Source organism: Homo sapiens, chromosome 17, assembly GCF_000001405.40.
Source record: "Homo sapiens chromosome 17, GRCh38.p14 Primary Assembly".
In the NCBI taxonomy this organism is placed as follows: Eukaryota; Metazoa; Chordata; class Mammalia; order Primates; family Hominidae; genus Homo; species Homo sapiens.
The window spans coordinates 1,998,033-2,023,903 of NC_000017.11; the positions used below are offsets into that span (position 1 = coordinate 1,998,033).

The window sequence follows — 25,871 nt, forward strand, 5'->3', positions numbered from 1 at the left end:
CCCCACCCCCGCCTCCGCCCCAGGCCGCGATCGATCCCGGCCTCTCCCGGCCTCATTACCGAGGGAGAGCTGCCGGGGCTGGCAGGGGAGCCAGACGGCGGCGGAGGGGGCGGGGAGGCCTCCTTGGCTCCCTGGCCCGGATTAAATATTTACTATGTTTTGTTTGGCCTTTGGGGGAGGGGCGGGGAGGGCTGTCGCATTGATCCGGAGCTGCAGGGCGAGGGCGGTGCCCAGACCCGGCGCCCCAAGGCCTCCCGCAGGCCGACCCGAGCCGAGCGCGCCCTTTGGGCACCGGCCCCGCCCGGGAGGGTCTTCTCGCTCTAGAGCCGGGGGCCCGCGCTGAGAGATCGGGGTTACCGCGCGGGGAGCCGCGGCCGCGCTGGGATCCGTTCCCTCTCGCGGGAGCCGCCGGCCGGGGATCTGCGCACCCCACGCGCCCCGCTCGGGTCGGGCCTCCCCTCCCCGCGGCTGCCCCCGGGCCGGCCACCGCTGCCCAGCGCGCAGGTCCCTGCCGGATCCCCGGCGGCTTTCCTGCCCCCACTTTACAGACGTGAACGCTGAGGCGGAGGGTGGGGGACGTGGGGCCGGCTCGCCTCCTCCTGGGCTCGCCGGGATGTGGCCTCCGAGGTCGCCGCGGCGCTTTCCTGCCCAAGCTGGCGCTGCCGGAGCGCCCGGGCCCCGCTCCCCTCACGGGCCTCGCAGCACAGACGGGGACAGGGGCGGCCTCGCGCGCACGGGGACCCCGGGGTGGGGGTGGGGGTGGGGCTCTGCGAGGGCCCTAAAAACGCTGGGGACGCGGGTTTGACGCACTTTCCCGGCAGCCGAAGACGACCCCGGAGCCCCTTTATTCTCTACGCGCTCATCCCACGCGCAGAACAGACACAGGCCCTGCCCTCACCGAGGGTTCCAGTCGGCTGTGCACAACTGAAGAGCTGCTCCCCCTTCCCTGCACGATGCCATCCTCTCACACACAGGGCGGGGACCACTCCACAGCCCCTTACAGCGATGTTCACTCGCCCCAGAGAGCTGCTCACGCCAGTCTACACCAGACACATGCGCGATCACACACACACACACACACACACGCTGCACTGAATGTGTGCTCATCATACACACACACACACACACACACCGGCCGGGCGCGGTGGCTCACGGCTGTAATCTCAGCACTTTGGGAGGCGGAGGCGGGCGGATCACGAGATCAAGAGTTGGAGACCATCCTGGCCAACATGGTGAAACCCCGTCTCTACCAAGAATACAAAAATTAGCCGGGCGTGGTGGCGCGCGCCTGTGATCCCAGCTACTCGGGAGGCTGAGGCAGGAGAATCACTTGAACCCGGGAGGAGGAGATTGCAGTGAACCGAGATCGCGCCACTGCACTCCAGCCTGAGCAACAGAGCAAGACTCCGTCTCGAAAAAAATAAAACACACACACACACACACACATGAACTGCCCCATCCCTATCCACGTATGTGCACATGCAGCTCCCAACACCCATACACAAAGAGCTGTTCACCCACTGCCACCCTGTACATGTCGGTGTACACACAAGCACACACGTACACAGAACATCCAGCCTCTTCTTCCTGTCCCTGCACACATGCACAAATACACACTGCAGTGCCCACTCCCTATACATGCCCCCCCCACACACACACGCACAGGCACACACACTCTTGCGTGCTGACTGCAGGCGGCTGGGGAAGAGCTGCAGCCTCCAGCCCTGCTCCTATTTAAAGAGAGGCATTGCTGGAAAAGGAACAAAAGCAAAGCTGGCTATAAATAGCCACCTCCCTCCCGGCTTTTCCTGCCCTCCGGCCTCACGGCCTTGCCTCTTCTCGCCTCTCCTCTCCTGTCTAGGGCCCAGAGCAGCTGGGGCAGGCCTGTCCCCAGGGGGGCAGGCAGTGGGGCCCTGGAGGCCAGGTGGCCAAGTGCTGACCACTGGGCAGGCCAGGGTCCCTGGGCCTGGATGGGTGCAGGGGCACAGGCCGGCCATCTGCAGCCAGCCCTGTGTGCATGTACCCAGCACAGAGGGAGGGAAGCCTGCCTGGGCCAGGGCTGCTGCCTCAGCAGAACTGCAAAGGCTGACAGCTGTGTCAGGGAGAAGGCGTGTCTGCCAAGTAGCAGCCACCGCTGCCCCAGGTGTCCCTACCCAGCCCGGCCAGGCCTTTCCTAGTTTGCTTCCTGGGTTGGCTCCTGGAGCCCAGAGCCAAGGATATTGGGTGCCTTGTTAGGAAGCAGGATGGGGCAGAGGAAGGAATGTCAGGACGGGAGGCAGGGAAGGGACACAAAGTCCTACTTTGGGTTCCAGTTTTTGTTTGTTTGTTTGTTTAAGATGGAGTCTCTCTCTGCCGCCCAGGCTGGAGTGCAGCGGCATGGTCTCGGTGCTACCTCCACCTCCTGGGTTCTAGCGATTCTCAAGTCTCAGCCTCCCGAGTAACTGGGATTACAAGCACATGCCACCATGTCCAGCTAATTTTAGTATTTTATTTATTTATTTATTTATTTTGAGACTGATTTTCGCTTTTCTTGCCCAGGCTGGTGTGCAATGGTGCGATCTCGGCTCACCTCCGTCTCCCAGGTTCAAGTCATTCTCCTGCCTCAGCCTCCTGAGTAGCTGGGATTACAGGGGCGTGCCACCACGTCTGGCTAATTTTTGTATTTTTAGTAGAGATGGGGTTTCGCCATGTTGGCCAGGCTGGTCTTGAACTCCTGACCTCAGGTGATCCGCCCAGCTCAGCCTCCCGAAGTACGGGGATTACAGGGGTGCGCCACTGCAGCTGGCAGGGTTCTGGTTCTATTACCTACGGGTCCAGCAGCCTTGGGCAAGGCTCCAAATCATGCCACCCAGCCTCACCTTCAGCCCCTCTTGGAGGGATGGTGGGAATACTGCATGGAAACAGCTGTGGCTCGCAGGCCTTTGTGAGCTGTGGAGGGTCATGGAATAGGAGACGTGACAGGCTGCCCTCTGTGTCTGAGAATCACTTGATAAAGATAACAATAATAATGTTTTTCATTTACTTTTTTTTTTTTTGTAGTGATGGGGTCTCACTATGTTGCCCAGGCTGGCATTGAACTCCTGGGTTCAAGTCATCCTCCCCTCTCAGCCTCCCAAAGTGCTGGGATTACAGGTGTGAGCCACCACGCCTGGCCTTTCATTTACTTTGTATTTTCCATGTGCCAGACACTGGACTATGTTTAGCTTATTTGATCCTCTGGGTTTTTTTTTGAGATGGAGTCTCACTCTGTTGCCCAGGCTGGAGTGCAGTGGTGTGATCTGGGCTCACTGCAAGCTCCGCCTCCGGGTTCACACCATTCTCCTGCCTCAGCCTCCCGAGTAGCTGGGACTACAGGCGCCCGTCACCATGCCCTGCTAATTTCTTTTCGTACTTTTAGTAGAGACGGGGTTTCACCATGTTAGCCAGGATGGTCTCGATTTCCTGACCTCGTGATCCGCCCGCCTCGGCCTCCCAAAGTGCTGGGATTACAGGCATGAGCCACCGCGCCCGGCCTTATTTGATCCTCTGTAAGGTAGGCACTATTTATATTCCCATTTTCCAGATGAAGAAACTGAGACTCAAGTGCTTGTTCCAAGGTCACACAGGCCCCTAAAGCACAGAGCCATGCTGCAAGGTAGAACTGGGTCTTTCTGAGACCAAAGGCCTCCTTCCTATGTCCTGTACTGCTGGGGACTAGGGCAGCCTTGTTCTCGAGCAGCCCCTCCTCAATGGCCAGTGGAGAGCTGGGCCGGGCTAGGCTGCCTCCCCCAGGACTCGATGGGCTGCGGGAAGGGGTGACTGCGGGATTCTCCCCTGCTAAGGTCCCCACTTGGGGTTTGCAGCATCAGCTCCCCCCGTCCCCGGCTCCCCTGAGGGGCCTCTTCACTTCAGCCCTGGGGGAGGGGAGGGGAGGGAGTGGGGGGAGCTCAGGCAGACCTACTTTCAAGGTTTTAATCCTTTTTGCTTAAAGGATTTTTTTTTTTTGCTTGGGGAAGACTTGGTCTGATCAGAGGAGAGACGCAGGGAGCTGACAAGCATCGGAGGTTGGGGGATGATGAGGAGAAAGAAATACATATTTATTACCCTCAATTATTAAAAAATAGATAGTACGAGATCTTAGGTCCTGGCAGACACTGCAGCGGTATTTCTGCAAGGACTGTCTTCCTTCCTTCCTTCTTTCTCTTTCTTTCCCTTTCTTCCTTCCTTCCCTCCCTCCCTCCTTTCTTTTTTCTTTCTCTCTTTCTCTTTTTTTTAATTTTTAATTTTAATTTTTTTTTTGAGACGGAGTCTTGCTCTGTCGCCCAGGCTGGAGTGCAGTGGCGCGATCTCGGCTCACTGCAAGCTCCGCCTCCCGGGTTCACGCCATTCTCCTGCCTCAGCCTCCCGAGTAGCTGGGACTACAGGCGCCCGCCACCTCGCCTGGCTAATTTTTTGTATTTTTAGTACAGATGGGGTTTCACCGTGTTAGCCAGGATGGTCTCAATCTCCTGACCTCGTGATCCGCCCACCTCGGCCTCCCAAAGTGCTGGGATTACAGGCGTGAGCCACCGCGCCCGGCCTGTCTTTCTTTATTTCCTCTCTCTGTCTCTTCCCTCCTCCCTCCCTCCCTTCCTTCCTTCCTTTCTTTTCTCTGTCTCTGTCTCCCTCTCTCTTCCTCCCCACGCCCGTCTCTCTCTGTTGAGATTGTGACATGGCTAGCTTGTTAGTAAAAACACTCTGGCCAGTTCCCAGTGGGGGGCAGAGGGAAAGTCAGGTCCCGGCGAGGAGGCAGGGGCAGCAGCCAGGGTCCTCCATACCCCGGCTACCAGGAGGGGCCCAGACCCAACTCAGCAGCAAGGGTGGGGCGGGACGGATCTGTGCCCCCGTTTTGGGCTGCACAGGCTGGGTCCGAGGCCGGCGTGTTGCCCCAGCTATTTTTTTATGTACCTGCTGCTCTCTCAGGACAAACCCTCCACCAATAACAGGCCTTCCCTTGTGTTGCTGTTCTTTCCAAGGGAGTGGTGAGAGAGGAATCGATTCCAGCTTTCTCTGTGGGGGAGGTGACAGCTCTCGCCCCAGGCTTCTGAGGGCTTCACCAGGGGGCACTGCCAGCTTCCAGAACACACCCTTATCCTCCCAGGGATTGGATCTGCCTGCCGAATGGGGGCCAGGCATAAGTGTGGTGCAGAGATGCCAAGGCAGCCTACGAGAGTCCTGAAGGCCTCCGATACCTGATCCTGCAGGCTGGCAGACGGGCGGGTGACACCCACAGACTCTTTTGTTATGGCTCCTAAAACAGGGAAGGCAAGAGGGATCTACGGTGAGGAGAAAGGCCAGGGAGGCAAGCCCACCGAGAAGAGGACTGTGGCATTTTCATTTGGGTGCCCAGAGTCCCCCCAGAGCCTGCCACCGAGAGGCCTCGTCCATGGCTGCAGTGATAGAGGACAGTGATGCAGGAGGAACAGCAGCAGCGGCTCCGGGAGGCCTTGCTCTGCCACAAGAAGGCACGCTACATCCACTTTGTCACAAACTCTCAAAGCCCCAGAAGGCAGATGGCATTAACCCCACTTTTCAGATGACAAAACTGAGGCCAGAAGGATTTAAAGCATCTGCCCAGGGTCAGGCACCTGGTAAATGGCAAAGCAGGAGCCCAAGTCCCGCCTGCCTGGCCCCAGGGCCCCGGCCCGTGTCTGCTTGGCGCAATCTACGGAAGCAGCAGGAAAACCCGAGCAGACCAGCATTAACTTCGAGAGGAACCAAGCAAGAAGCAGTGTCTTGGCCGGGCGCGGTGGCTCATGCCTGTAAACCCAGAGCTTTGGGAGTCTGAGGCGGGCAGATCACTTGAGGTTAGGAGTTCGAGACCAGCCTGGCCAACATGGCGAAACCTGGTCTTTACTAAAAATACAAAACTTAGCTGGGCTTGTTGGCAGGTGCCTGTAATCCCAGCTACTCGGGAGGCTGAGGCAGGAGAATCACTTGAACCCTGGAGGCGGAGGTTGCAGTGAGCCGAGGTCGCACCACTGCACTCCAGCCTGGGCAACAGAGTGAGACCCTGTCTCAAAAAAACAAAAAGCAGGCCGGGCGCGGTGGCTCACGCCTGTAATCCCAGCACTTTGGGAGGCCGAGGCGGGTGGATCACGAGGTCAACAGATCAAGACCATCCTGGCTAACACGGTGAAACCCCGTCTCTACTAAAAATACAAAAAATTAGCCGGGTGTGGTGGCGGGCGCCTGTAGTCCTAGCTACTCGGGAGGCTGAGGCAGGAGAATGATGTGAACCTGGGAGGCGGAACTTGGAGTGAGCCGAGATCGCGCCACTGCACTCCAGCCTGGGCAACAGAGCGAGACTCTGTCTCAAAAAAAAAAAAAAAAAAAAAAAAGCAAAAAACAAAACAAAGAAGCAGTGTCTATTTTGCGGGCCAGGAGGCAGAGGCACTGGGCTGAGGCGGGGCTTTCTTTTCCAGTCGGGGGACCCTGTTTCAGAGACAAGGAAGAAGTGGCCGCCTGGAGTTCAAGGCTGTGGACTGGCAGTTCTTGGATGATGCACCAGTGTTCTGGGGAGGCCTTCACCCTTATCTCACTTTTCCAAGCGAATGGAAACCACTTTAAAATGCTTCCCGCAGCTCCGCCTGCACCGCCTTAGGGGACTTCTCCCTGGCCCTGGGCAGAGAGGGCAGAGGGTTCAGGACAGAGCAAGGATAGTCCTTGGCAAACAGGGTGGCCCCCTCCACCCTACGTGACCTGTCCCTGCTGGTCTTGAGTTTCCTGCCCCTGGCCAGGGCTGGCATGTGTCTGTCCTGATCACTCACACAGCTCTGGAGGCAGAGAGGCAAAACTCCAAAGGGCAGTGAGATGTGGGCTGTAGCTAAGGCCGGCACATGGAGCATGCCTGGAAGGAAGTTACCACCGCTGCTAGCAGTAGGAATGGCGGCGTTCATTGAGCTCCTGTTCTGGGTCAGGCCACAATATAGTGCCAAGAGCTTTTTAAATTTTTATTTATTTGTTTATTTTTGAGGCAGGGTCTGGCTCTGTTGCCGAGGTTAGAGTGCAGTGGCACGATCTTAGCTCACTGTAGCCTCGACCTCCTGGGCTCAAGCAATCCTCCTACCTCAGCCTCTCCAGTGGCTGGGACTACGGGTGCACACCACCACATTTGGCTAATGTTTTTCACGTTTTGTGGAGATGTGGTCTCACTATGTTGTCCACGCTGTTCTCAAACTCCTGGGCTCAAGTGATCCTCCTGCCTCGGCTTCCCAAAGTGCTGGGATTACAGGTATGAGCCACCACATCCGGCCACCAAGAGCTTTATAAGCATTGTCTTCTTTAATCTTCACAACTCTAAAGATAGGCACTGTTATTAGGCCCATTTTACAGATGAACTCAAGTCTGGAGAAAAAAGGTAATTCCCAGATTTCAACCTGGCTCTGGTTTAATCACTCCACTCAGAGGTGAAGGGCTTGGCCACTGACCTTTGCAATTAGGCCCTCCCTACCAAGCCCTTTCCTCTGATGAGGAGGAAGCTTCCATTGAGAAAGGACAGTCACTGGTACATCCAGAGAGGCCACAGGGCTCATGGCTGGTGTGGTGGCGTACTCCTGTGGTTCCAAGTACTCAGGAGGCTGAGGTGGGAGGATCGCCTGAGCCCGGGAGGTGGAGGCTGCAGTGAGCTGGGATTGCACTGTTGCACTCCAGCCTGGACACCAGAGCAAGACCATCTCTCTCTCTCTTTCTCTCTCTCTCTCTCTCTCTCTCTCCTTCTCTTTCTTTTTTCTTTTATTTTTCTTTCTTCCTTTTTTTTTTTTTGACACAGAGTCTCGCCGTGTCGCCCAGGCTGGAGTGCAGTGGCGCAATCTCGGTTCACTGCAACCTCCGCCACCCGGGTTCCAGCGATTCTCCTGCCTCAGCCTCCCGAGTACCTGGGACCACCGGTGCATGCCGCCACGCCCGCCTTATTTTTTGTATTTTTTAGTAAAGACGGGATTTCACTGGATTAGCCAGGATGGTCTCGATCTCTTGACCTCATGATCCACCCGCCTTGGACTCCTAAAGTGCTGGGATTACAGGCGTGAGCCACCACCCCGGCCTCTTTTCTTTTAATAGGTAGGCTAAGGGGAATTAGGAATGTCATATTTGGGGGAGGTTTGCAATTTTTTTTTTTTTTTTGGCAACAGAGCCTTGCTCTGTGGCCCAGGCTGGAGTGCAATGGCACAATCTCGGCTCACTGTAACCTCCGCCTCCCAGGTTCAAGCAATTCTCAAGCTTCAGCCTCCCAAGTAGCTGGGATTACAGGCGCGCGCCACCACACCCAGCTAATTTTTTTGTATTTTTAGTAGAGACTGGGTTTCTCCATTGTTGGCCAGGCTGGTCTCCGACTCCTGACCTCAGGCAGTCTGCCCACCTCAGCCTCCCAAAGTGCTGGGATTACAGGCGTAAGCCACTGCAACCAGTTGGGTTTTTTTGAGACAGGGTTTTGTTCAGTCACCCAGGCTGGGGTGCAGTGGTGCAATCATGGTTCACCGTAGCCTTGACCTACCAGGCTCAAGTGACCCTCCCGCCTCAGCCTCCCAAAGTGCTGGGATCATAGGCATGAGCCACCACGCCTGGCCAAATTTGTTTTGTTTTGTTTTGAGACAGTCTCTCGCTTTGTTGCCCAGGCTGGAGTGCAGTCGCACGATCTCAGCTCACTGCAACTTCCGCCTCCCGGCTTCAAGTGATTCTTGTCCCTCGGCCTCCTGAGTAGCTAGGATTACAGGCACATGCCATGATGCCTGGCTAATTTTTGCATTTATTTTTTTTAGTAGAGACGGGGTTTCGCCATGTTGGCTGGTCTTGAACTCCTGGCCTCAAACGATCCTCCTGCCTCAGCCTCCCAAAGTCCGGGGATTACAGGCATAAGCCACTGTGCCCGGCCTTTTCTTTTTTTTAATGTGTGCTCAGCGGAGCAGAGGTACAGGAAGAGGTTGGCGATGGGGTCCTGGAAAGATGAAGGGTGTGTTACCCACCGTGCTCTACGGAACACATTGGCTGACCATTTCCAGTGCCGTATGATGCTGGGCAAGCTGCTGCAGCTCTCTGAGCTTCAATTTTCTCAGCTATAAGGTCCCTTCTGGTGCCGCAGTTGAAAGTCTACAAATACATCAAAATCACACAAATCCCCTGGCCCAAATCAGAAGCAAGGGGTACGCCTTTCCTCATACTCCAGCCACAGTTTTCTGATGCCACAAGCCACCCAGATCCCAAAGAAAACAAATGCCTCTGTACACCTTCCTCCTCTGGATCACCCACAGTCGGCTGCACTGCAGACCTAGGCCATGTTCACAGCCCCAACACACACACACACACACACACACACACACACACACACTCTTCCTCTCCAAATAATTGGATGATAGTAATTCAAGTCCCGTCTGGCTGCTTGGGGTGGTGCCAATGGATGTCGCCGACCTCTTGCTCTGGCCTTCACCCAGCCAGCTCCCTGTGAAGGCCTTGGCCTCTCATTCTGCTCCCCTGCCTCTGCTCAGAAACTCACAAAGTGGGTAGGCCAGGCTGCCAGATGCTGGCTGTGGCATGGTCTCTAACAGTGGTCTTGCCAACCTGAGGGTGCTGGCAAATCCTACAATGGAACATTTTGCAGCCGTTAAAACTGAGGCTTGGCTGGGCACAGTGGCTCACGCCTGTAATCCCAGCACTTTGGGAGGCCAAGGCGGTCAGACCATGAGGTCAGGAGTTCGAAACCAGCCTGGCCAGGGTGGTGAAACCCCGTCTCTACTAAAAATACAAAAGAATTAGCCAGGCATGGTGGCACGCGCCTGTAATCCCAGCTACTCAGGAGGCTGAGGCAGGAGAATCGCTTGACCCTGGAAGGAGGAGGCTGCAGTGAGCCGAGATTGCGCCCCTGCACTCCAGCCTGGGTGACAGAGCAAGACTCCGTCTCAAAAAAAACCCAAAAAAATAAACAACAACAAAAAGCTGAGGCTTAGGCCAGGCATGGTGGCTCATGCCTGTAATCCCAGCACTTTGGGAGGCCGAGGCGGGCGGATCACCTGAGGTCAGGAGTTCGCGACCAGCCTTGACATGGAGAAACCCCGTCTCTACTAAAAATACAAAATTATCCGGCTGTGGTGGTGCATGCCTGTAATTCCAGCTACTCGGGAGGCTGAGGCAGGAGAATCACTTGAACCCGGGAGGCAGAGGTTGCGGTGAGCCGAGATTGCGCCATTGCAATTCAGCCTGGGCAACAAGGGCTAGACTCCATCTCAAAAAAAAAAAAAAGACCACCCCAAACTGAGGCTTAGAATTACAAACATAATGAAAAATAAAACAAAATTTTGACACATTAAAAAAAAGGAATTACCAACATAGAAAGGTGTTTGAGAAATACTGTTAATTAAACGAGACGGGTGCATCTGCGTGAACGTAGGAAGGAAGCGTAGCCGGATTATGAAATGCACGAACACCCTGGGAGGGGTGAGCTTTCCCACACTTTGCTCTTTGGGCTGTGGGGTTGTAGTGATTTTCTTCTTTTTGCCAATCTGTAGGTTTCCAATCTGTGTTTGCTCCCTGGGTATGCATTTGGGAAGTTCAAAAAAATTCTGTGGCTGTTGAGTCAACCAACCTCCTCCTCCCTGGTTCTTGAGGCTTTGCAACAGTTGGGCTCCCACCAATCCGCCCTACCACTAACTGATCTGCCACCGATCCGTGGCACGAACAGTGACTGTGGCCTAAGCACGGGTTGTCGCGTTGCTCTCCAGCCTTTCCAACCTTCCTGTCAAGCCTCTCTTCCTCTCACAAAGCCTCCCAGGTGCACCTGGGAGCAGGTACCTCACCTCCAGCCGCCTTCCCCCTGGCTTGAAAGTGCCTTCCTTATCACCTACACCATCCTTTCACTTATCCAGGGTGTGGCTTCTCTCTCCTAGCAGGTTGTAAATTTCCTGGGCCTGCAGACTGAGCCTCAGCCCAGGGTTTACTCACTCCCACCCTGCCTGGAACACAGTGAGAGTTCATTCAGGAAATGACTACAAGGCACAGGGGCTCTGGTCTGGCTGGAACTGATGGTGTAAATGGGGAGAAAAGGGTGATGTATCAATGAGACAGGGACTGAAAAAGACAAGGCTGTGCCCAGAACTAAGTTCTATGTTGTATGCTGTGGAGTAAAAGGGCAGGGTTCGCCGGGCTTGGTGGCTCACACCTGTAATCCCAGCACTTTGGGAGGCCGAGGCAGGTGGATCACCTGAGGTCAGGAGTTCAAGACCAGCCTGGTCAACAAGGGGAAACCCTGTCTCTACTAAAAGTACAAACATTGGCCAAGTGCGGTGGCTTACGCCTGTAATCCCAGCACTTTGGGAGCCTGAGGTGGGCAGATCATGAGGTCAGGAGTTTGAGACCAGCCTGGCCAACATGGTGAATCCCATCTCTACTAAAAACACAAAAATTAGCTGGGCGTGGTGGTGTGTGCCTGTAATCTCAGCTACTCGAGAGGCTGAGGTAGGAGAATTGCTTGAAGCCAGGAGGTGGAGGTTGCAATGAGCCGAGATCACGCCACTGCACTCCAGCCTGGGCGACAGAGCAAGACTCCGTCTCAAAAAAAAAAAAAAAAGGCAGGATTCATGGGAATCAATCTCTGACCTTATACTCAAACTGCAGCCTGGGCCACATAAACAGCTGAGAAAGAGAGGCATCTGACCCCGATGTAAAGGGGGATCCCCAGATCGGCCACTTCTCCTCCTGCCCGCTGCCATAGCTGTTGCCTTGGTCCCTGAACCCCTGGCCAAGTGGCTGATGGACTTGGGACTGACCGCAAGTTCTGGTACTCTCCAAAGGAATCTCAAACCACTCCACAGGCCACAACACAGAATGCCGGCCCTGTCCACAGCCCCAGCCACGGAGACAGCCAGGTACTGTAGCAAGCACATGCCTGACGCAGGGCCTTTGCACCTGCTATTGTTCCTTCTGCCAGGAGAGCCCTCCCCAGGGAGAAGCAGCTCTAATGTCTGCAGCGCCCTCCCTCACTCCCTCACTTCGCTTAGGCCTCTGTTCGAATGTCCGTCTATCAGAAAGACTTCTCTGCCAATCTCCTAAAATAACCGCTCTCTGGTCACCCTCTGTTCTTCAACTGTTAATTTTCTTCAAAGCACTTACCCCACCTGATAGAATATAGTTGTTTAGCCAGGCGCGGTAGCTCACGCCTATAATCCCAGCACTTTGGGAGGCCGATGTGGGTAGATCACTTGAGGCCAGGAGTTCAAGACCAGCCTGGCCTACATGGTGAAACCCCATCTCTTCTAAAAATAAAAAAATAATAATAAAAAATAAAAAACTAGCCAGGCACGATGGCAGGCGTCTGTAATCCCAGCTACTCAGGAGGCTGAGGCACGAGAATCGCTTGAACCCAGGAGACGGAGATTGCAGTGAGCCAAGATCTTGCCACTGCACTCCAACCTGGGCTAGCGAGCAAGACTCTGTCTCAATATATATATAGTTGTTTATTGTCTATTTCTCCACCCCAACTAGAATGTAAGCTCCAAAAAAAACAGGAAACTTGGAATTTATTTATTTATTTAGAGATGGGGTCTTGCTCTGCCACCCAGGCTGGATGGAGTGCAGTGGTGTGATCACAACTCATTGCAGCCACGGTCTCCTGGGCTCAAGCAATCCTCCCACCTCAGCCTCCCAAATAGCTGGGACTACAGGCACACACCATCATGCCTGGCTAATTAAAAAACAAACAAACAAACAAACAAACAAACAAAGCACTTTGTAGAGATGAAGTCTCACTATGTTTCCCAGACTGGTCTTGAAATCCTGGGTTCGAGTGATCCTCCCACCTCGGCCTCCCTAAGTGTTGGGATCACAGGTGTGAGCCACCATGCTCGGTGCCTTGGATTTTATTCATCGCTTCACCCTCAGTGCCAAACCAGCAGTAGGCAGGCAGTTCATCGTTGTTAAATAAACGTTTGTCGGCCGGGCGCGGTAGCTCACACCTGTAATCCCAGCACTTTGGGAGGCCAAGGCAGGCGGATCACCTGAGGTCTGGAGTTTGAGACCAGCCTGACCAACATGGAGAAACCCCGTCTCTACTAAAAATACAAAATTGGCCGGGCGTGATGGCGCATGCCTGTAATCCCAGCTACTCGGGAGGCTGAGGCAGGAGAATGGCTTGAACCTGGGAGGCGGAGGTTGCTGTGAGCCAAGATCGCGCCATTGCACTCCAGCCTGGGCAACAAGAGTGAAACTCCATCTCAAAAAAATAAAATGAAATGAAATAAAAATAAACGTTTGTCAAATGGAGACAGCCCTCCATACCCCTCCTGGCTGACAAGATAAAAGGTGACCGCTCATCCATGGATAAAGAACTGGTCGGTGATCATGGTCTGTAACACGGTCCGACAGGAGTCATGACACGGCTGGCTCCACTGGGCTCTTCCTTCTGGGAAAGCCAGGAATTGGAGGCACCTAGCTGTGGGAGGGGAAGATGAAAGGCCGTGCTGGAGAGCAAGGGGTGGGTCCATGGCTTTGGATGTGGGGCAAGAGGAGGAGCTGGCGGGGTGGAGGGAGAGGCCAGGGCAGAGAGGCCAGGAGAGGGACCACGGAGGGCTGTACATTCTGGAGCTCCTCCCTTGCCTGGAGGCTTTGGGAGTCCAGGTCACTCATCTCCTTGCAATAATCCCCCATTTCCAATGAGCTCCCATGAATCTCTGCAATCAGAATTGGCCATGAAAGCAGAAATACCAGCCCATCAGGGGCAGTGGGCCAATTAGGTAAGATGATCATTGCCACAATCTCAAGGCAGCCCCGGGGCTAACTGCCACCCCACGAGTCACGTGTGAGTGGTAAAATGTCCCCTTTGGCTGGTGCATTCTCTTGAGCATAGCCCAAGAAGTTCCCGAGCCTCTTTCCCTCGGCCCCTCCTCGCTTGGGGAGATTCTTTTTAAACCGCAGGCCTGAGCAACGCCCCTGGAGCCCTCCCTGGGAGGAGAGGAAGCAGTTCAAAGTAACGAGTCAATTTCACAGATGGGAGCCAAGACAAAAGAGGCAGCGTCTTCTCACCCCAGGCACCACCCGAGCTCAGCTTCCTCTGGCAATTTTAGCATGTTTGGTCCGGCCTCATTTAGACATTTCAGATCTCTGAAGCCCAGAGAGTGTCCATGAGAGGTTTCCGTTTGCCACGGAGTCGATAGTACAAATTTTGTTCCAAACACATCTGCCAAGTACAACCCTAAACTTTTCCAAGCGAGAGGTTATTTTCCTAACACAGCGCCTGCTCTGCTGGGCATCCTCTGTGGTCCAGAAGGCCAGTCTTTCCGTGCCTGCTGGCTTCCTGGAGCCACAAGGAACACAGCTGGGCTGCGGTGAGGCGGCCCTAAGGCCCTGCCCAAGCTACTGAGCCCCTCAGAGCCTCGGTATCCTCATCTGTAACTTGGGACTAATGAGACGTGCGTTTTCTGCTTTTAATGAGGCATTGCACAGGGAAAAGTGCGTGGTGTAGGACTCTTCTCTGCATCCTCCTCACTAAAAATTCCCCATTTCCTCCTGGTTCCTGGTACTGTTTCTATTTTTTTCTTTCTCTTTTTCTCCTTCTCTCTCTGTTTTTTTTTTAAGCCCTAGATCACGATTTAATTTCTCTTATGGTTACAGAACAATATAAATATTAGGTTTTGGTACTAAGTTTCTTGTGGTCCAACCTATGTACAATCATTCAATCAACATTTATTAGCCAATCAACTCAAGTCTACTGATCCAGCACTTTTTACCTAATGTCACTATGTGCTATGTTCTTCTTCTTCTTCTTTTTTTTTTTTCTGAGTTGGAGTCTCGCTCTGTCACCCAGGCTGGAGTGAAGTGGCATGATCTCGGCTCACCGCAACTTCCACCTCCTGTGTTCAAGCAATTCTCCTGCCTCAGCCTCCCAAGTAGCTGGAATTATAGGCACACGCCACCATGCCCAACTAAATTTTGTATTTTTAGCACAGACAGGATTTCATCATGTTGACCAGGCTAGTCTCGAACTCATGACCTCAGGTGATCCGCCCTCCTCGGCCTCCCAAAGTGCTGGGATTACAGGTGTGAGCCACTGCGCCCGGCCTGCTATGTTCTATTTTGTGCAGGATGCTGTTTTAGTGGGGTCCTGATAGGAAAGAGCATTTTCAGATTGAGTAATTTGATGAATAAAGAAGAAGAGAGAAGTGAGGGGGACAGGGAAGCCCTAAGAGATAATGTCATAACCACCCCCAACACATACAGACCCCCAGGGCTAAGTGAGGGGGAGCTCTTACTGAACTCACAGGTAGAAAGAGCTGCCAGGAGGGCTAGTGGCAGGGGCTGTGTAGCAGATACTGCGAGGGCCTGCCCACAGCCCTGGCTTTGACCATTTCGGCACACCAGCCTGACTTCCAGCTGCAAAGACTTGCATTTCTTTGCCTCAGGGCTTTCTCTAGCAGCGGAGCTGGCTTTGCTCACCTACAGAGCAGGCCAACTGTGCTGGGAATGAATACCACCACAGGAACAAGACTCAGCCAGTGACCGGTGGGTGCTGGAACATAAATACCCCTGCTCCCTCACCCTGGAACATAAATACCCCAGCTCCCTCACCCTGGAACATAAATACCCCAGCTCCCTCACCCTGGAACATAAATACCCCAGCTCTCTCACCCTGGAACATAAATACCCCAGCTGTCTCACCCTGGAACATAAATACGCCAGCTCCCTCACCCTGGAACATAAATACCCCAGCTCCCTCACCCTGGAACATAAATACCCCAGCTCCCTCACCCTGGAACATAAATACCCCAGCTCCCTCACCCTGGAACATAAATACCCCAGCTCCCTCACCCTGGAACATAAATACCCCAGCTCTCTCACCCTTGGGGTTTGATAGCTTTGAGGTGCGGGTTCTAGACTGCATCCCAAAGCTGTGCAGCAGGGTTAAGCTCTGGTACCCACAGTGGTAATTACTTGACCCAGTGAGTCCCTGACTGGCTTCTCCCCTACTCTGTTTCAACCTCTCACTCAGTTCCTGGCATTTCCTTGGATCATTTCCCAAATAAACTACTTGCTTGAATTTTTGAAACTCAGGCTGTGCTTCTGGGAAAATCTTTCAGTAACCTTTTGGGAGGGACACCCAGTGCCCATGGGGACTCACCCTTGGCCAACCCAGCTGGAAGTGGGAGGGTGTGGAAGCCCACTGTTGAACTTGGACAGGCCAACCCTGGAGGACACAGAGCAGCATGAGGGATCTGGAGGGGCACAGGGTGGAGAAGTTGCAGTCTCCTCATGGAACTCACCAACTGGCGGGGAAGACAGATCACATAAAAGTATTATCATCGCAACAAGGAAGGCTGAGTACCATGACAGGGATGTGCAGAGCCCCACAGAGCTCTCAGGACCCCCCACTCTCCCCATTCAAGGCATGGAGGGACCTTCCCCAGAAGATGTGTATAAGTTGAGACCTGAGGATGGGAGTGCAGGGGAAGCAGCCACGGAGTGTTCTAGGCAGAATGAGCTGCTTGAGCAAATCCTTCAAGACAAAAGAACATGATTCAGGCTGGGCACGGTGGCTCATGCCTGTAATCCCAGAGCTTTGGGAGGCCGACGCAGGCAGATCACCTGAGGTCAGGAGTTCGAGACCAGCCTGGCCAACATGGCAAAACCTTGTCTCTACTAAAAATACAAAAATTAGCCGGGTGTGGTGGTGTGCACCTGTAATCCCAGCTACTCGGGAGGCTGAGGCAGGAGAATCGCTTGAATCTGGGAGACAGAGGTTGCAGTGAGCTGAGATTGCGCCACTGCACTCCAGCCTGGACGACAGGGAAGGACTCCATCTCAAAGGAAAAAAAAAAAAAGAACATGATTCAATTGAATCCAAAGAAGTTCGGTAGACCTGGAGCTCAGAGTTCAAAGCAGTGGGGAGAAAGAAGGCCAGAGCTGTGGTGGGGCCAGGGGGAAGGACATGGCAGGCCATTCCCTGATGAAAAAGGGAATCGCTGAAGGGTTCTAAGAAGAGAGAGACAAGGGCACAGGGCACTGTGGAATCCGGCCGCTGTGTAAGGCCTGGTTTCAGCAAAGGCAAGACAGGAGGCTGCTGGGAGGGTCAGGAGATGATGGTGGCCTGGGCTCAGGTGGAGGCACAGCAGGCAGTGGCGGAGGAGGTGCAAAGGGCATCATGGGAGAAGGGCAGGGCTTCGCGAGGCACGGAGGGTGTGGGAAGGGCAGGGGTCAGCTCTTGGGCTGGGGGTGGCTGGAGAGCAATGGTGCCAGATGCCATGATGGGGAAATTGCGGAAGAGGCAATTTCAGACACGCCGGGTTTGAGAGGCCTTTGAGGCCACCAATGAGGGCACTGGGGGTCGGTGGGCAGGTGGCTCTGGACATCAGAGGCTGGAGACGGGATATCTGGGGAGTCAGTCAATGGCCGGCCACTGCAGCCACGGCCGTGCTGAAAGCCCCCAGAGCCAAGCATGGCGCTGCCCGGGGAGGTGCCACATTGGAGAGGTGGCAAGAGGAGGGAAGCTGGCCAAGACGGCCGAGAGGGGCAGCCGCAGAACCATGGAGGCTGCCATCAGGGAAGCCGGGGAAGCAGGACGGCCAACAGGGCCGATGCCCCAGAAGGTCAAGGAGATAAGGAAAAGGTCTGTCGGGTTTAGTGTCAAGCCAGAGCAGTGACTGTGGATGCCAGGGAAAAAGCAGGGTCTGGCTTGAGGAGTGAGAGGTGAGAATAAGGAGTCTCCAAGTGTGGACAACCCCTTCCTTGATCCGGGCAGAGAGAGCCGAGCGGCCGCAAGGGGTCCGAAAGGAGGGGATGCAACACCCCATCAGCCGCAGGTGACAGAACTCAAACCCCTCGCCCTGTGGACAGCGGACAGTCCTCCTTGTTAACAGGCAACGCTCAGCACACCCAGTGGCTTCCTATATCCTGCTAGGAGGGACCACAGGGGACTCCAGAGCCTCCAAGCTGGAGGGGCGGCCAGGGTGGCACCGAGGCCAAGGGAGGAAGCCCTTCCCCCTGGGTCTGGCTCTGATCATGGCCCCCCTGCCCTGGGCTCTGACATTAGGTACCATTTGAAGAAACTCCTGCTATTGAAAAACCTTTGAAGGCCGGGCGCGGTGGCTCATGCCTGTAATCCCAGCACTTTGGGAGGCCGAGTTGGGAGGATCACCTGAGGTTAGGAGTTCAAGACCAGCCTGGCCAACATAGTGAAACCCCGTTTCTACTAAAAATACAAAAATTAGCCAGTTGTGGTGGCAGGTGCCTGTAATCCCAGCTACTTGGGAGGCTGAGGCAGGAGAATCACTTGAACCCAGGAGGCAGAATTTGCAGTGAGCCAAGATCACACCACTGCACTCCAGCCTGGGTGACACAGCAAGACTCCATCTCAAAAACAAAAACAAAAAACAAAAAAAAACTTTGAAAGACCATTGATCTAGTCATATTACAGATGGGTAAACTGAGGCCCAGAGATGAGGAGACATGTCTGGGGTTCTACTGAGTCCGCCCCAGAGCTGACCGAACACAGCCCCAGGGTGCCAGCTCCGTTGGTCTTTCCACAGCCCCACAGTTCCTGGAAAGGAAAGGGCCGTGACAAGGGCAAAGCCAGGGTTGCATACAGGGCTGCGGTGAGAGACGGAGTCTGGCAGCGTGTGATGAGAGACAGAGAGACGCAGCGTGTGGCATGCGGCACATGCCAGCGACAGGCGGCAGCAGGCGGGCAGGCGGGAGGCCGGGCTGCAGCGCCAGAGCATAGCCATTGTCCCCAGCGTCCGGCCTGCCCAGGTGCCCCTCACTGGCCATCAAGTGACCTCCCTCGGCCCTGCCTCCCCTGAGGCTGGCCAGCTGTAGACCCCAGGCCCACCTCCACACGTGCTCCTTCCTTCTCCCAGCTTGCTCAGACAAGCCCATGAATAGAACATTAAAGGCAAAACCTTCTAAAAGGAAAAGCAGCTCCCTGGTAGGAGTCACCCCACTAAATGTCAAATGCAGAGCAAGGCTTCTTGCCTTGTGCGCTTCTCACTCATGGAGTCACCTTAGCCTCCATATCCCCATCATCCTATCGCCGTATAAATAAATCATGGTCAGAAGAATGCCAATTTCCCCCCAGGGCCTCATGAATCTCTCAACATAAGCATATGTAAAGGCCCCCTTCACTGCGTGCTGGTCCTGGTGCCCAGAAAGAGATAGCAAATCCTGTGGGGATGATTTTGGAGGCAGAAGCAAACTTTCTACCACCTCAGTGGGCTGAAAGTTGGGAGCCCAGCTTTTGTCCTGATTTGGGAAAGACCCTTGCTCACGTAGTTGTCACCATGATGCCACTACCCTCTGGAATCAACTCAGTGAGCTGCCAAGTGGCCCATCGCTGGGGGCTGCAGTGGTCTGTCCCCTGGCAGACATGTCACGAGTCGTGCCCACCCACCCCCTGTGAGGGCGAGCCACACACCCACTCAGCAAGTGTTGTTCCTGACATGTGGCACACACAGCGCTGGCCTGCCCACTCCTGGGAGCCCCTGCCCCCACTGACTGGCTCACCATCGTGCCACGGCACCGAGCCCTGCCAGTGGACCAATGGTGTGGGTGCCAGCAGAGGCTCTGGTGCACTAGGGTGTCCTGCTCTGCAACAGTGACCTCTGCCACACACACTACAGGGAGCCTGTTGCATGCTTTGCCAGGTGTGTTTCTGTACATACACACACACACACACACACACACGCACACACACTATGGTACCAACTCTTTTGCTGTGCCAGCACAGAGGTCTCCAGAGCGACTCTCCTGAATCAGATAGCAGGGGCTGTTTGCAGTTTCGTTTCCACGCTTCGCTGACTGGTTAGACAGTGATCACAGGTTCGGAAGCACGAGCCTCACCACAGCGGAGGAGGCCTCCACTCTGAAGCGGGATTCCACGCTCCTGCACCCTAAGATCAGCTAGACTCTCTGCCTTGTTTCATCTTCTTTCTTTTCCTAAAGAATCACGGGGAGAACTGACCTCTCTGGGACTCAACCGTGGCTGGAAGGGGACAGGAGAAGCCCTTTCTGGAGGACAGCTGAGCCCTGCAGCTGCCATCCTGCCTGGCAGGCTAGGGCTGGGCTGCGGGAAGGCCCCCCAGGAGGTAGGGAGCACTACAAGGCAAGAGGGGCAGGTATAGGTGGTGGAGCCAGTGTGTTCCGGGGCTGTGCTAGCAAGTCCATCAGGTCACCCTGGAGGGAAGCCAGGGAGAGCAAACCATGGGGAGGGCTGAGATCCCAAGCAGAGCACAGCCCCCCAATAATCCATGGCCCTGGGCCCTCCTCAGGGGCGTGAAAGCAGGCAGGAGGGTTCCTGGCCCACTGTCCCATCTCTGTCCCCAAGGAAGAAACCAGGGCAGGAGACAGAGGTGAGGACTGTGTCTTCCAGACACCGGGGGAGAGGGAGTAGGAGAGGACATATGAGACAGCAGCTCAGGCCCCAGGAGTCCCAGATCCCAGCCAGAGAGGCTCCTGAGGAACCGCAGAGGGGAGTGCATAGGAACCACCAGCAAGCTCTGCGAGAAGCCAGAAATGAATCAGCAGCGCCCAGCGCCCCACAAAACAAATGTCAGAGAAATCAAGACAGATGGGCACGTGAGACAGTGGAGCACAGAGGTCCAGAGGGCAAGGGAGACGGTGGGCTTGACAGACAGAGCGGGGGCTGCATCCTGACTCAGCAGTGCGCCGGCTGGGTGGCCCAGGGAAAGGGACTCCAGCTAGCTATGCCTCAGTTTCCTCATCTGACACGGAGGAATGAGCACAGACGGATCCTGCAGGGTGGGGGTGGAGGTGGCATGAGATAAGGCGTGGAGCACACTCAGTGAGGCTGTAACAAGTGCTCAGTAAACACAAGCGGCTATTGGCAGCATGTGGACAGTGACGGGCAGGTGGGGAAGAGCAGGTTATTGCCTGCTGCCTGTTTCCAGCTAGCATCCATGTCTCCTCCCAGCAGGCTTGGCTGGGCATGCTCTGTGAAGCCCGAGGTGGCTGGGACTCATTCTAGTGATGGACACCAAGTCAGCGGGCTCCTCTCTCCAGTTCCTCGACATCCCTGGAGGCCCCTCTGCTCCTGCAGCCCTAGCCTTGGAGCTGATGGTTCCCTCAGTCTTCTCCAGGCCTTGGGGGGGGCCCTCACGCTAGGGTCCCTTCCCAACTCCTCTCTCTGTCTCATTTCTGCCCAGGGAGGTCCGGCCACTGCACCCCGAGGAAAGGGCTGCTTTCGGCACTCTGCGTGGAGGTCCTGGCTTCTGCCGTCCCTGGAGGCTCCGTTCCCGTTTCGCCAGCTATTTTGCTGCCTCGGCCATCTGTTCCCTCCCTGTCATCTCCTCTCTGCTTTAACCTTAACCACTACTTCACTGCAGATGGTACCAGGCAGTTCTGCTCTCGACATCCTTCACGACGCCTGGCCCTCCTTCTCATCTCCAGCAAGTGAACCGCTCTGTCCTTTTTAAAGCCTCATCCCAAAGACACGGCCAGAGCTTGGAGTTGGATTCGCCCCACACAACTCCCCCTCTTTGATGCCATCTGCTTTCAACTCCACCACTGGCCAGGGGCAAACACCTACCCCTTCCCCTGCCTTTTCCTCCTGAGACTTCTTCTCAAACTCGGCCAAGAAGCTCTCCTGGCATGGACAGCGTGTCTGCTCCGGGTCTCTACCTGGTCTCCATCAACAGAGCCATGTAACCGCCCAGAGGGCTCCAGGTCCGCAAGCTGAGGCGGAGGCCAGAAACTCTGAAGTTCACTCCTACTGTGGAGGAACGAGGGCTCGTGCTGGGAGTTTGGGTCATGAACAGTTTCCCTGTAGAAAATGGACCTGAACACTCTGCAGTAAGGAATTGTTTCCCATGCTGGCATGGTGGGAACCGAACCAAAACACATTTTCTATGTTGTCTGAGCTCACAGGGAACATCCCTCTGCTGTCCTTGCTGTTATTCTGGCATGCTGGTGAGAAAATGCATGCATGGGCTTTACTTAGCAACTCGCTCTGCCTCTCCTCTCTGTCAGGGCGCTCCCCTAAAATCTCTCCTCTTGACGTCTTTTTTCTGGCATAAGGACCCGGAGCTTTGAGGAGCGCAGCAGCCCAGAAGCTCCTAAGGAGAGAAGCTGTTTTGGTGAGATTGGTTCCACCAGGCTACATGCCTTGACTGGGACAGAAATGGGCTGGGAAGGCCGAAATTTGACTTCTGCACCTGGATTTGGGCTAAAAAGTCTCACAGCTCAGCCTCCTTGATAAGGGTTCTTCTATCTCCCCTCTATACTTCCTCTGCAGCAGAAAAGAGTATCTTGGCCGTGCAGGGAACGCTCTTCTCTCACTCTCGCCACTGGGGTTAAGGGCAGCTACATTACTATAGCTCCAAGTCTTGGTTGCCCCCAGAGAGAGGCAGAGATGTAGCCTGCCCACATCTGGACACTTGAAGACTCTCCAAACACCTAGAGGAGCTGTGGATTCAAGTGAAGCAACCATCTGATGCCACCACGGTCCCTCCTTCCCTTTGCCTTCCCTTCTTCCCACAAAAGAGAAGCCCAAATCCGCCACCAGACCAGCCCATCTGCCCGTGGAAACCAAGGGAACCAAATGCATCGTACTGGGTTGCAGGCCTTAATCTAGCTCTCGCTGAATTATTCAGGGATGGCATTAACTTATAAATGAGTGTGTTTGACTGATTTTGTGGTTGATGTACAGATAAAGTCTAATGAAAGACAGTTATAAGATTTTAAATTATTAATTAGACTGCCACTTAACAAAGCCTATTTGGCACTCTATTTTCTTGCTTAACAAGACAAAAACTTTAAGGAAAGGTTCTGTATTAGCCCAGAGGCTCTGGATTTGCATTCTGTTTTCATAGCTCTACACAGGAAAGCCACGGGTCCCGACCTTAAGTAGAGGCCACTTCTGGCAAAGCAAACCCCCCAGCGGGCCGCCCTTCCTTCCTGGATGTTGCCGGGTGGCTTGGGGCCTCGCTTGCCCTGCTGCCTCTCACCTCTTAACCAGAGGCTTGCTTTTAATATCCCTGGTTTTGCCGGCTAGGCCACGAGATGGAGAAGCAGGGAGGGCAGCTGCTGAAGCCTTCAGCTACCAGCACTGTCAGCAGCTTGGTCCCACTGGGGTTGTTCTAGTTCACAGAGGTGGGGCTGTGGCCAGTAGAGTCCTTTCATTAAGAGATGCAAGGCAGTCCCCCTCAGTCCTCCCAAAATGTCATGCCAGGGGACAGCTTTACTAGGACAACCAGGAATCAGAGAGATGATCCTTATGGCCCAAGGTGTGCTCCGCCTTCCTCCTCCTCTGGGGCTTCATACCACTGCACCCCTCACTGCATAGGGCACCCCATTATCAAGACCATGAGCCCTGCCCTTTGCAGAAAGATGAGGGGTTTTTTCTCTTCCCTCCTTCCCACAGGATCTAGGGAGGGCTACCCTTTCTTCATCTTTCAAACCCTTTTCAGAATCATAATTAAATTATTACACTCCCTCAGGTCCAGGACCCCACATAGGGCTCTGCATATTATAGGCAAGAAAACAGCAAGAACTATTTAAACACATCCTATACCTTTTTTTTTTTTTTTTTTTTTGAGACAGAGTCTCGCATCTTCTCCTGGGCTGGAGTGCAGTGGTGCGATCTTGGCTCACTGTAACCTCCGCCTCCCGGGTTCAAGCAATTCTCCTGCCTCAACTTCCCAAGGAGCTGGGATTACAGGCATGAACCAGCACGCCCGGCTAATTTTTGTATTTTTAGTAGAGACGGGGTTTCACCATGTTGGCCAGGCTGGTCTCGAACTCCTGACCTCCGGTGATCCTCCCAACTCGGCCTCCCAAAGTGCTGGGATTACAGGTGTGAGCCACTGTGCCCGGTCTTTTTTTTTTTTTTTTTTTTTTTAAATAGGGTCTGGCTTTGTCCCCCAGGCTGGAGGGCAGTTGTACAATCTCGGCCCACTGCAGCCCCCACCTCTCAGACTCAAGTGATCCTCCCACCTCAGCCTCTCAAGTAGCTGGGACCACCAGTGTATGCCACTGCAAATTTTTTAAAATTTTGGCCGGGTGCAGTGACTCACACCTGTAATCCCAGCACTTCAGGAGGCCGAGGTGGGCAGATCACTTGAGACCAGGAGTTTGAGACCAGCCTGGCCAACATGGCAAAACCCCATCTCTACTAAAAATACAAAAAATGAGTCAAGCATGGTGGCGTGCACCTGTAGTCCTAGCTACTTGGGAGGCTGAGGCAGGAGAATTGCTTGAATCTGGGAGGCAGAGGTTGCAGTTAGCTGAGATTGCACCACTGCACTCCAGCCTGGGCAACAGAGTGAAACTCTGTCTCAAAAAAAATTTTTTTTTGTAGAGACGAAGTCCCACTCTGTTGCCCGAGCTGGCCTCGAACTCCTGGTCTCAAGTGATCCTCCTACCTCGGCCTCCCAAAATGCTGGGATTACAGCCATGAGCCACCACACCTGGCCTCCTGTATCATTTTCGCTTGGAAACTTTGGGAAGAATTCTAGAAGCAGACACTTCAATGGCCACCTCCCTGGGCATTAGCCTCAGGCATGCTTTTGGCTTTGGGCGCCTACCTAGAATCCATACAGAGAATCTGAGTGTCCTATACAGGTGTGCAGAAGAAACTAATCCAAAAGATCAGGATCTGGGGCCAAGAGAGAAAACTGCCTGCCCAGGAAAGAACCAACACAAGTCACCCGTCCACACGATGCCCTAGGGGCGGTCTCCAGGTCACCCAGGCTGAGCCCAGCCCAGTGAAGGGCTTCTCTGCTCTGCTTCCTTTGGGCCAATCCAGGTGGAAACCTATCGGTGGAACCTCTTCAGCCAACCAGGCTGTGCAGGAAGGAAGAAACAGCCCGAGTGGCAAACACACGTGACTGCTAAGCCTCCGGTGGCCGCCTCTTGTGCAGGGTAAGGAGCCTCCCCCCGGGGAGCGGCCCCCACAGTGCACTGTGCTCATCCACAGCTGGGCCTCTGGCTAGCCAGGGTGGGAGAGAAAGGCTCTTGGAGGCTGCTGGAGCCTCCTTGGGCACCTAAACCATATAAATAAAGTGTGTGGGCTGCTTGGTGGCTCATTTTTAACTATAAACTGCCAAAAGACAAAAGACCAAAAGGGAAATGAGATGTCAGTTCCTCTCCATTATCCCTATCACAGACCTGCAGCCCAGACATGGCGGCCTCTCAGAGCTGTCTGGGAAGCCTTCTCGACCGGGGCAAGTTTGCACGCTCCAGGCCCAAGTTTCTCAGACCCGGGCTTCTGCTCAGCTCTGTAAAAAGCACCTTCTCTGTGCAAAGACACTTTGGCCAGCACTGCTCGGTTGCTGAAAGGACTTTTTGTCCCTTTCTGCAGGGAAAAGGAGAACCTGGGGTGTGTCTGCGAAGCGGTTTCTCCAACTAGCCCCAGAAACTCTTCCATACCACAGCGAAGGCAGCCGGCGTTTCCCCCTGAACTGCACCGACCCACGTGGAGGGCACAAGTCACACACAAGTTTGTTACTATTCCAGGACGACGGGGCAACTCAGCTTCCTCGGTCGGCCCAAGCTAGGACCACCACACGGCCTTCACTGCCCCACCAAAGGCGTGGTTCCTCCACCCACCTGCCTGACCTGCTTATATCTGGGTCTTCGCCATCACCTCCACATCTGCTTCTCTCCGCCCATCTTAGGGCTTCGCTTCCCCCCACCTCCCCAACCTCCCCCCCCTCCACCCCCTCCCCGTGCGCGTTTTCTCCTTCCCCATCCTGCTGTGAGGTCAGAATCCTGTGCTTACGACACCTCGGTCTGTTGCCATGGAAACAGGGGCGGATTAAGGCTGGAGCGTGGAGCGCAGGGATCAGGCCCCTCGGCTACCTGAGCTCCCGCCTCAGCCGCTCCCGCAGGGCCGGGGCAGCCAGCCGCAGGCGCCGCGGCTTCTC

At 54.8% G+C, this 25,871-nt stretch overlaps 1 protein-coding gene and 2 long non-coding RNA genes across 9 annotated transcripts in view, besides 3 other annotated features; 1 reads left to right on the forward strand and 2 right to left on the reverse strand.

Annotated features, from left to right (window-relative positions):
• Window positions 1–25,871, reverse strand: part of RTN4RL1 (reticulon 4 receptor like 1) — a 90,658-nt gene that overhangs the window by 63,356 nt on the left and 1,431 nt on the right. The gene's annotated exons all lie outside the window — the stretch shown is intronic.
• Window positions 1,953–2,463: an enhancer, noted in NCBI's record as "H3K4me1 hESC enhancer chr17:1903279-1903789 (GRCh37/hg19 assembly coordinates)". NCBI's record gives its function as "activates a minimal SCP1, AML or CMV promoter by ChIP-STARR-seq in naive H9 embryonic stem cells {active_cell/tissue: H9 hESC(naive)}" and the evidence as "EXISTENCE:reporter gene assay evidence [ECO:0000049][PMID:30033119]".
• LOC105371486 (uncharacterized) lies at window positions 4,619–25,650 on the reverse strand. 7 transcript variants are annotated; one of them, XR_001752746.2, is made up of 4 exons: window positions 25,564–25,650; window positions 16,118–16,262; window positions 8,982–9,105; window positions 4,619–5,269 (listed from the first exon to the last, which is right to left on the reverse strand). It is a non-coding gene; the product is annotated as an uncharacterized LOC105371486 (long non-coding RNA). The 7 variants fall into 7 exon arrangements; XR_001752747.1 differs by lacking the exon at window positions 4,619–5,269 and adding an exon at window positions 7,206–7,365; XR_001752749.1 differs by lacking the exons at window positions 4,619–5,269; window positions 8,982–9,105 and adding exons at window positions 14,990–15,103; window positions 15,261–15,456.
• Window positions 19,684–22,674, forward strand: RTN4RL1-AS1 (RTN4RL1 antisense RNA 1). Its single transcript, NR_135642.1, has 2 exons — window positions 19,684–20,075; window positions 21,153–22,674. It is a non-coding gene; the product is annotated as an RTN4RL1 antisense RNA 1 (long non-coding RNA).
• Window positions 20,281–20,390: an enhancer, noted in NCBI's record as "active region_11461". NCBI's record gives its function as "activates an Ori minimal core promoter by ATAC-STARR-seq in GM12878 lymphoblastoid cells {active_cell/tissue: GM12878}" and the evidence as "EXISTENCE:reporter gene assay evidence [ECO:0000049][PMID:35858748]".
• Window positions 24,751–24,930: a silencer, noted in NCBI's record as "silent region_7966". NCBI's record gives its function as "represses an Ori minimal core promoter by ATAC-STARR-seq in GM12878 lymphoblastoid cells {active_cell/tissue: GM12878}" and the evidence as "EXISTENCE:reporter gene assay evidence [ECO:0000049][PMID:35858748]".